At 47.7% G+C, this 10851-nt stretch overlaps 1 annotated feature.

Annotated features, from left to right (window-relative positions):
- Positions 430 to 930: an enhancer, noted in NCBI's record as "H3K27ac hESC enhancer chr20:32521004-32521504 (GRCh37/hg19 assembly coordinates)". NCBI's record gives its function as "activates a minimal SCP1, AML or CMV promoter by ChIP-STARR-seq in primed H9 embryonic stem cells {active_cell/tissue: H9 hESC(primed)}" and the evidence as "EXISTENCE:reporter gene assay evidence [ECO:0000049][PMID:30033119]".

The following is a 10851-nucleotide window of genomic DNA, read 5'->3' as shown; positions in this document are numbered from 1 at the left end:
CGACCTCAGGTTATCCACCTGAGCCTCCCAAAGTGCTGGGATTACAGGTGTGAGCCACCGGGCCTGGCCTTCATTACAGTTATTTCTTATGGTTCTAAGGGATGTCCAGACGCAGACGGGAAGTTCTGCTCCACAAGGTATTTTTGGGGATCACTCCCACATTCAGCTGGAGCTGGAACATTCAAGACACACATAGAAAGGTTCTGGCCCCTTCCCTATCCAGGGGCTCATCCCTGAACCTCAGCCTTAAATGGCTCCTCCCATTGCCCTGCCTCTGTGTTCCTTCCTCTATCCTGTCTTTGTGGCAGCCTTGGTTGTCAAGGAGTAGTTGGACCGGCTGGGCCCTGGCTGGGCCTGTCTCCAGAAGGTTAGTTGGATTTCTTTCTCAGTGGCTCAGGGCTCCAAGAGAACAGAAGCTGCTAGGCCTCTTACAAGCCAGGCATGGAACCGGCACAAGTGAAAGCAGGTCACAAGGCCAGCCCAAATTCTAGGGAGGAGAAATAGTGCCACCTCTTGACAGGAGCCTGCGTGTCCAGGGACAGGAGGCGTTGTTGGCGGCCATCTTTGGAGGCATCTCCCTCAGCTGGGAAAGGAAGCCTGAACCCTTGTTTTCCAGGTGCCAGCCTTTATCATCACCTTTATCTAGGTCTTAGGTGGGGTATTGGTAGGAGGAGGACAGGTGGTTGGTAATCCTGTGGGAGTGGCTCAGCATTTGTAGGGAAAAATCCAGAGTTGTTAAGAATTGCCTAGGCCAATTGCAGTGGCTAACAACTGTAATCCTAGCACTTTGGGAGGCCGAGGTGGGCGGATCACTTGAAGTCAGGAGTTTGAGACAAGCCTGGCCAACACGGTGAAACCCCATCTCTACTATAAATACAAAAAAAAAAAAAAAAAAAAAATTAGCTGGGCGTGGTGGTGGGTGCCTGTAATCCCAGCTACTCGATTCTCTAGCTGATGCAGGAGAATCACTTGAACCCGGGAGGTGGAGGTTGCAGTGAGCCGAGGTTGCAGTGAGCCAAGGTTGCACCACTGCACTCCAGCCTGGGCTACAGAATGAGACTCCAATCTCAAAAAAAAACAAAAAAGAATTGCCAAGGCCATCAAAAAGAGGAGGTAGATGAAGGGAACATAGAGGCAGGACAACGGTAGGAGGGGTCAAGGCTGGGGTTCAGGGCTAAACCTCTGGCTGGAGCAGGGGCCAGAATCCTCCTGCCTGTGTCGAAGATGGCCATCATGTCAGGCTGAACAACCATAACCTGATTTCAGCAAGAAGAGGTGAGAAGAAGCATCCAGAAGTTGCCCACCACTCTAATATGTCAAAGAGACCACAGGTCTCACCCCTCCCCACCCACCTGGGCTGGCACTGAACCCCTCACCTACTGGAATCATTTCTAAGCCCACCCCATCCCCATGCCCAGTTACGGACCAGACAGTTTCCTTGGTTTTTTTTTTTTTTTTTGAGACAGAGTTTTGCTCTTGTTGTCCAGGCTTGGGTGCAATGGCAGGATCTCGGCTCACCATAACCTCTGCCTCCCGAGTTCAAGCGATTCTCCTGCCTCAGCCTCCCAAAGTAGCTGGGATTATAGGCATGCACCACCACACCCAGCTGATTTTGAATTTTTAGTAGAGATGGGGTTTCTCCATGTTGGTCAGGCTGGTGTTAAACTCCCAACCTCAGGTAATCCACCCGCCTCGGCCTCCCAAAGTGCTAGGACTATAGGCGTGAGCCACCGCGCCCAGCCCAGTTTCCTTGTATTTCAATTGCCCCCAGTAATAGACTAAGAATATCTGTCCAGTCTCTCCTCCTAATAAATATTTGAACAGCGGTTTGTTAATTTTTCTTACCCTTCATGATGGAGATTAATTGCTATTTTACATTACATGCAACTTCTATTAGTTTGGGATTTGCTTCCTCAGTGATACCACAAACATTGGGCTTGAATAACACATTTTAACCTAGACAAGCTCATTAAATTCTTGAAGGTGCGTGGACAGAAAGGGGGGAGAACTGGCCCTAGTTTTGCAGTTTTGAGGGCATCAATTTAAATCCATCAGGCAAGTGCCAAACAGGTTTGGGGTTGGGACATGCTCGATGAGGAAGGATGGAGGTTACTGGAAGGACAGTCCTGTTCAGTCCTGCTGCATCTCAGGCCACCAGAACCAGCCCTTCCCCAGAACCAGCCCTTCCCCAGAACCAGCCCTTCCCCAGAACCAGCCCTTCCCCAGAACCAGCCCCACCCCACCTGGCTTCACCCTCAAAGTGTCCAGAGCCTTGGTGCCAAAGAGTTCACCCTGACCCAAATAGGACTGTTGAATCCTATTTTTTAGGGTCCAATTTTACTCCTTGGACCTGACAGTCCTGCTGAGAGGGGTAAAGTTTTCTCACCTGTAAACAGGAGTGGTCATGCCCATTATCATGTTCACCATCATTATTGTCATAAATATCATGCTACCCCTAGACCCAAGGGTTGGACCCTGCTAACACCTGGGATGCACCCCCACTTGTGACTATAGCACCCTATATTATTAAGAACCCCTCTAGTCTTGAAGCCAGCCAACCCAACCACTCCCACTCCTCTCTGACTCGAGACCCTGCTGGCTCCATTGCTTCCTCTCTCCTGCCTACACAGATTATGATCGTACTCCACTTTTTTTTTTTTTTTTTTTTTTTTTTTTTTGAGGCAGTCTTGCTCTGTCACCCAGGCTGGAGTGCAGTGGCACGATCTCAGCTCATTGTAACCTCTGCCTCCCGGGTTCAAGTGATTCTCGTGCCTCAGCCTCCCGAGTAACTGGGATTACAGGCACCTGCCCCCAAGCCTGGCTAGTTTTTGTATTTTTACTAGAGACGGGGTTTCGCCATGTTGGTCAGGCTGCTCTCAAACTCCTCACCTCAGGTGATCTACCTGCCTCACCCTCCCAAAGTGCTGGGATTACAGGCATGAGCCACCGCGCCTGGGCCAATACTATTTTAAGACCAAAGAATCTAAGACGTTTCATAGAGTTATAGAATCAGGTGTCTGTAAGTTATTCTTAGCTTCCTGAAAGACTCCTAACTTCTAGATCAGGGGTGCCCAATCTTTTGGCTTCCCTGGGCCACATTGGAAGAAGAATAGTCTTGGGCCACATGTAAAATACACTAACGGTAGCTGAAGAGCTTATATAATTTATACATCACAAAAAAAGTCTCATAACATCTTAAGAAAGTTGGGCCACATTCAAAGCTGCCCTGGGGTGCTTGCAGCCCACAGGTTGGACAAAATTGTTCTAGATCTTAACCTCTGGTGTTAATCATTTGACGCCTTTCAATTATGCTGAGAATGAGAAAACATACTTGAAGTCATAACCAGAAGCAGCTACGGAAGAAGTTGGTATTTAACACTAGTCATTAGTGCAGACTCCCACAGGTACGGTTCTTTTCCCTGTGGGTCTTTACATCTTTTTTTCCTCCAGGGGCCTCAGTCAGGCTCATCACAATTAACCAGAAAGGTTGTGATCATGTTTTACCTCAAAAGAAAAGGGCATGTGGCCTCGATTCCTGACCTTCTGGGTAGCTCCTGGCCTGTATGCAGATTTGCTCAACTTTCACTCTACAAACCATGGATTTATTTTGGGGGGCATATTTACATAGCCACAGAATGTCTTGGGGCTACCTTTCCCCCAGAGCAAGAGGCATCAACTTGCCTGATAATTCCATATTTGAGGGAAGAATCTGGAAGAGTCCAAGAGAATTTGCTGCATCTAGATAGGGAAGAGGCTAAACTAGCTTAGGTTCCAGAACACCTAACACCCCACTTATGTAACTACTTGGAGAGCCACGGGGGAGAGGCACAGGGCAGTGCTCATAGGTACCAGAACTAGAGACTCAGGAACCCAGAAACCCTTTCCCTCTCTTGGAATCCACGTTTCCCTCTCTCCCCTCCCACGCCAGCTTCCTCTGCCCGTATCTCCACATCATGTCCACATGCCACCTAACTGTTTGGGTTCCCCCAGAAGCTGACCTTGAGACAGAGGTTCAAGGGCAAGTCATTTACTTGGGAGGTGATCCCAGGAAGTACCAGTAGGGGAGTGGCAAAGTGAGACAGAGAAAAGAAAGGCACATGATCAAGCCAGTTACCCCGTGGGCAATGGGAGCCCATTCCTGCCCGGGGATGCTGGAGACAGTGTAGATCATGGAAGCAGAGTTGCCCCACCCCAGGCAAGGGAGCTGGGTCTGTATCCCATCAGTCATTGGTGGAGGGCTGCTTCTGGCCATTAACCCTCTAGTAGGCTTTCCCTGCATGCAGGTGGACGTGCCCTCAGCAGAAAGCAGCCAGATAAAAGCCCTCAGGTGGGAGGTGGCAGGTGTTTGCGATTATACCTTCAGGGGGTAGAGCTGAGGGTCTTGCAGACATAGGCAGGGCACCAGCCATGGTGGCTCCCTTGCCCCAGCCCAGATGCTGTGTGAATTTTCATCTCAAGCCCTTTGTTATGGGCTGAATTGTGTCCCCTAAAATTCATATATTGAAGCCTTAATCCCCAGTACCTCCGTATCTGAAGACAATATTTTAAATATTGTCTTCTATCTAAAGATAGAACCTTTAAAGAGGGGATTGTATTAGCCAGGCATGGTGGCGTGCACCTGTAATCCCAGCCACTCAGGAAGCAGAGGCAGGAGAATCGCTTGAACCTGGGAGGCGGAGGTTGCAGTCAGTGAGCTGAGATCGCACCACTGCACTCCAGCCTGGGCAACGAGAGTGAAACTCCGTCTCAAATTTAAAAAAAAATTTTTTTAAAAAGAGGGGATTGAGTAAAATGAGGCCATTAGGGTCAGCCATAATCAGAGCTTACTCTCCTTGGGAGAAGAGAAAATTTGGACACACAAGAGAGACACCAGGGATGTGCACCCAGAGGAAAGACCCCATGAGGACGCAGTGAGAACGTGGCCATTTGCAAGCCAAGGAGGGAGGCCCCAAGAGAGGCCAGCCCTGGGCACAGTGGCTCACGCCTGTTATCCCAGCATTTTGGGAGGCCGAGGCGAGAGGATCACTTGAGCCCAGCAGTTTGAGACCAGCCCGGGCAAAACAGGGAGACCTCTGTCTCTACAAAAATAAAAAAATTAGCTGGCGCTGGGCGCAGTGGCTCATGCCTGTAATTCCAGCATTTTGGGAGGCCAAGGCGGGCGGATCACTTGAGGTCAGGAGTTCCAGACCAGCCTGGTGAATATGGTGAAACCCCCGTCTCTACTAAAAATACAAAAAAAAAAAAAAAAAAAAAAACTAGCCGGGCATGGTGGTGGGTGCTTGTAATCCCAGCTACTCAGGAGGCTGAAGAAGGAGAATCGCTTGAACCCAGGAGGTGGAGGTTGTACTGAGCCGAGATAGTTCTACTGCACTCTAGCCTGGACGACAGAGCGAGACTCAGTCTCAAAAAAAGAAAAATAAAAAAAAGAAAAACATTAGCTGGGCATGGTGGCAATGCCTGCAGCCCCAGCTACTTAGGAAGCTGAAGTGGGAGGATCGCTTGAGCCCGACAAGGTTGAGGGGTGACAGAGCAAGACCCTACCTAAAAAAAAAAAAAAGAGAGAGAGAGAGAAAGGGAGAGAGAAGCCAACCTTGCTGGCACTGTGATCTCACACTTCTAGTGTCCAGAACCGTGAGAAATCCATTTCTATTGTTTAAGCCACCCAGTCTGTGGTATGTTGTGACGGCGGCCCTCATAAATGAAGACACTCTTTCCCAGTTCTAGTTCTCTATCTCCAGACCTGCCTCTGGTTGGCCCAGCCCCTCTTTCAAGCCAGGCTACAGGTCAGAGGTGACTGAGCCTTCTTTGGGTCAGGTGTCCATCTCAGTCCAAACAGCTGCTGTGGGAGAGCAGGGTGCCAGGGTCAGGGTTATAAATGAGGACAGAGCTCTGGAAAGGGAGCCTCACTGGGGAAGGTCACCCAAAAGTGTCTACACCATGGCCTGGGAGGGTCCTGAGCTGAGGCATCCATGTACTTGCTGTAATCTGGGCTATTTCCAAGCCATCATGTCTTTGTTCTAGAGATGGATCATCCTGAGATATAAATCTGCACGATGCTGAGCATCTAGACACTGCTTCAGCAACCCACACCTTGGGCCTGTGTGAGCTGCTTTCCTGGCTCAGAGATTGTGGCGATGACATCCCCAAGCCTTGTCCACTGGGGCTGAATCGGAAGCTGAAAGGCACAGCTCGCTTCATCTGGAAACCAGCAGGATGTGAGGCTGACAGTTAATTAGATTAATAAGGAAACCATGCCTTAAAATGTAATGCTGTTTTCATGAGCCTTTAAAGCCTATCAGAATGTTTGCCGAGCTTTATGGCTGGTAATTAACAACCTTGTAAAAATATACAAGGAAACAAGGAGATATCAGGGAGCTAATAAATGTGGCAGCTGCCAGACCCACAGACAGAGCCTGGCTCTGGCTTTCACATCACTGGGGTTTGGGTCCCCGCTCTGCCTCAACTTGCTCAGACAAGTCCCTCACCCTCTATGATCTGTTTCCTCATCTGTCCAGTGGAAAGGCTGGATGACTGCTAAGCCCTGGACCAGCCGCATTTCCCAGCCTTCCACTTTGTTGTGCTTCAGAGCTCAATTCACCTGCAGGTTCCTCTGCTCTGAGGGCCATTCAGTCTTTAAGACTGAAGTTTCCCCACAATAGGTAGGAATCCAGTATCTCAGTGAGATCCTCAGCATCCCACTCCATGGAAGATGGAAACGGCTTTTGTGGCCAAAGGGCCATTCACCTTTCTTCTTTTTACTTTTTTTTTTTTTTTTTTTTGAGACGAAGTCTTGCTCTGTCGCCCAGGCTGGAGTGCAGTGGCACGATCTCAGCTTACTGCAACCTCCGCGTCCCAGGTTCAAGTGATTCTTCTGCCTCAGCCTCCCGAGTAACTGGGATTACAGGCGCCTGCCACCATGCCCAGCTAATTTTTGTATTTTTAGTAGAGATGGGGTTTCACCATGTTGGTCAGGCAGGTCTTGAACTCCTGACCTCAGGTGATCCACCCGCCTCGGCCTCTCAAAGTGCTGGGATTACAGGTGTGAGCCACCGTGCCCGGCCTTTTTTTTTTACTTTTTTTGAGATAGGATCTTGCTCTGTTGCCAGGCTGGAGTGTAGTGGCACAATCAGCTCACTGCAGCCTCAACCTCCTGGGCTCAAGCAATCCTCCCACCTCAGCCTCCCTAGTAGCTGGGACTACAGGCACACACCACTATGCCCAGCTAATTTTTAATTTTTTTGTAGAGACAGGGTCTCCCTTTGTTGCCCAGCCTGGTCTTGAATTCCTGGCCTCAAGTGATCCTTCTGCTCAGCCTCCCAAAGTACTGAGATTACAGGCATGAGCCATGCACTTGGCCTCACCCTTCTTCAGTAACAAATTCTTCCTTCAGCAGATCACTCTCTCCCAGTTCTCAATCCCTAGCTTTAGACAGAGTTGACTCTACCCCTGCTGGTAGGGGTTGGCACGTGTCTCAGTTGTGGCACGTGTCTCAGTTGTAGCCCGTGAGAGCATCGCAAGGATGATCACCTGACCTAATCAGAGCCAATGGGGCACAATGGAGAGAGAGGCTCTCCATTCATTTCCATTGAGATGAAGACGACTTAGACCCCACGTAGCTGGCAGCCATCCTGGCACCATGTGGGTGTGAATGCTCATCTGGCATGCAGCAAGGCCGAGCCAGATGGTGGAGAAAGACCAGGTCATGGTACTATTGTCTGGGCCTCTGAGTTTAGCCACATCTTAAATTTACCCTTGAACTTTGCAATTGCATGAGCCAATAAATTCCCTTTGTTGATTTAAGATATTTTTGAGGTGAGTTTTCTGTCACTTGCAAACAAGAAATCTAACAGTTACATGGTGTGTCCATTAATGGGTGTAAGAGAGAGAGAGAGAGGAAGAGAAACAAAGTCATAAAAACAGAAAAAAAGAAAAATTTTGTTTTACTGAAAGTACATGCTAGAGTTCATACATGCTATTAACATTTCTCATTCGTAAAATTCCATTTGCTCTCTTTTTTCTCTCTGGGGATTCCTAGTCATCCTCTCAAAGCCCATCTCAGTGGCTCCTCTTTCCCAGCTCTCCAGGCAAAGTGAGTCACTTCTTCTCCCTAGAAAGTCAGTCCTTCAAGACTTTTGACTTATGGAAAAGTCATGTACATATTACTAAAAATAAATTACAGAGCATTATAAGTGATACATCTATGTGTAAACTAAACATGTTAATAATTATAATTGTTGTTATTCATTGTTACGGTCATTATTGTGGGTTGACATGCGAGCTTGACTGATAAGACTCTTTTTCATATACCTTTTAACCCCAGGACCCTCCACATTATGACTGGAATGGATACACAGGGCTGGCACATGTACCTAGGTCAAATGGTCAGAAAGGGACCCACGGAAAGAATCTTCAAATTTTCAGTATCTTTCTTTCCTTTTTCCTTTCCTTTCCCTTTCCCTTTCCCTCCCTCCCTCCCTTCCTTCCTTCCTTCCTTGCTTTCTCGCTGTCTCTTTCTTTCCTTTCTTTTCTTCTTAGAGACAGGTTCCCACTCTGTCATCCAGGCTGGAGTACAGTGGTGCAATGATAGCTCACTACGACCTCAAACTCCTGTGCTCAAGTGATTCTCTCGCCTCAGCCTTCTGAATAGTTGGGACCACAGGTATGTGCCACCAAGCCTGGCTAATTTTTTAAGGTTATTTTGGAGAGATGGGGTCTCACTTTGTTGCCCAGGCTGGTCTCAAACTCCTGGCCTCAAGCAATCCTCCTGCCTCGGCCTTCCAAAGTGCTAGGATTACAGGCGTGAATCACTGCACCTGGCCCAAATTTTCCATTTCTAAATTTGAGAGATAAAAATGCTTAGAAAAGAGATGAGAGCAAAAAGAACCAGTTTTTGCCAGTTACTTACTTTAACCCATTCTAAGTTTTTTCCACAGTAATAGAGCTTAAACTGAACAAATGCTGATTCCCCAGCTAGCAACAACACATCCCAGGCTTCTTTGTGGCCAGTGTGGCCACATGGTTAAGTTGTCACCAATGGCATATGAACAGAAGGGATGGGGCACCTTTTTCCTAACATTCTTTCTCCTTCCCTGAACATAGATGTGCGGTGACCAAGTTCTGACAATGGGGATGAAGATAACACCATGAAGGATACAGAGAAACAAGATGAAAGGATCTTTGATACCTGAGTGATCATGTGGAACAGAGCCATCTCCCCACCCTGCACTACTTAACCTTGAGGCTGTTACATGAGAGGGATAAACTTCTCTTTTCTTCAAGCCACTGTATTTTGTGACCTCTTTATTACAGCGGCTTAGGCTTGCTCTAATTAATATATTCCCAAACACCTTTCCTCCAATGACTAGAAAAATCCTCCCAGTTAGGAATTTTGGAGAGAAAGGAGAGAAGGGTAGAGGCTATATAACCCCGCACCCCATCACACATGCACGCGCACACACACACGTACCTTGTCCTTCCCCTAAAACAAGTCACAGATTTGATGGCAGGAAGAAAACAATAAAATTCCTTTTGAAGTTTGGGGGATTAAAGAATAAAGAGAGCATGTGCCTTATTTCCATCTGGAATTTGTCCTTCGTGTTAGGATGTGAGCATCTTTTGTTTTGCCTTCCATCACTTACTTTCCCTTCTTCAGACAACAGTGTCCCAGTATCCCTCTGGGAGTTCTGGGGATACCCTTAGCTGCCTCTTGTCACATCAGGCCTGTTTCGTACAGCAGCGCAGTTTGTGCACTGCACAACACCAGGAAGCTCATTTCACATAGACCATGATGTAGATGTGTTGCCTGGAGTTGTGTAACAGGGCGGCCTTGTGGCCCTCCACATAGGCCACTAACTCTTGGTCTCCATGAGAGTGGCACCTGGCTGCTGTCGCTTCTCCAGGAGGCAGAGCCCAGTCTCAAACTGGATGGAACACTCCATGCATCAGTGGAGTGATAAATACTCAACATGACAATCTCTCCCACTCCATGCTTCCCACAGCACCGCTTATATCCTGGGAGTAAAACGTTGACCTATGGCTCTGCTATAAAACTCTTGCTGACAATATTCATTATGCAGTCATCCCTCAGTAGATGTGGGAAATTGGTTCCAGGATACTTTCCCTCCCTTGCGCACACCAAAATCCACACAAACTCATGTCCTGAAGTCAACCCTGAGGAACCCGCATAGGAAAAGTCAGCCCTGCATATATGCATACTTGGCATCCTGTGAATATTGTATTTTCAATCTGCATTTGGTAGAAAAAAAATCCACATATAAGAGGGCCCATGCAGTTCAAACCTGTGTTGTGCAAGAGTCAGCTGTATTATTCAATGCCTCCTTTGAAGAACTCAAATGACAAGCTCCCAGGACAAGTTGGGGTGTCTTGAACAACTGGTAGATTTCCTTCTGGACAATAATGAGAGTTATGGAATCTACTGGCTTTCCTTTTTACCTTCACCATCAAGTGGCCCAAAGTGAGGTTAAATGCCCTCATCAAGATCACCAATGACCTCCATGTTGCTAGATCCAATGGTCAGTCCTCAGTCCTTACCTTATTTAACCCATTTTCCGTACTTGACATACATAATGACATTCCCCCTCTTGAAACTCTTTCTTCGTTTGACTTCTAGGATCCTTTACTTTCTTAGTTTTACTCCTAGCTCACTGGCCTCTTCACATTCTTCTTTGTTGATTCTTCCTCATCTCTCCAACCTTAAAACATAGGAAAGTCATGAGTCCAGTCCTTTTTCACACTCTGCCATACACCTCCACTGGCAATCTCATCTAGCTTCATGACTTTAAATACCACATCTATGATCATGATGCCTAAATTTATACCTCTAACCTGGAC

Source organism: Homo sapiens, chromosome 20 (assembly GCF_000001405.40).
Source record: "Homo sapiens chromosome 20, GRCh38.p14 Primary Assembly".
In the NCBI taxonomy this organism is placed as follows: domain Eukaryota; kingdom Metazoa; phylum Chordata; class Mammalia; order Primates; family Hominidae; genus Homo; species Homo sapiens.
Note: the sequence above shows the minus strand (reverse complement) of the source record. Positions and strands in the feature narration are given on the sequence as shown.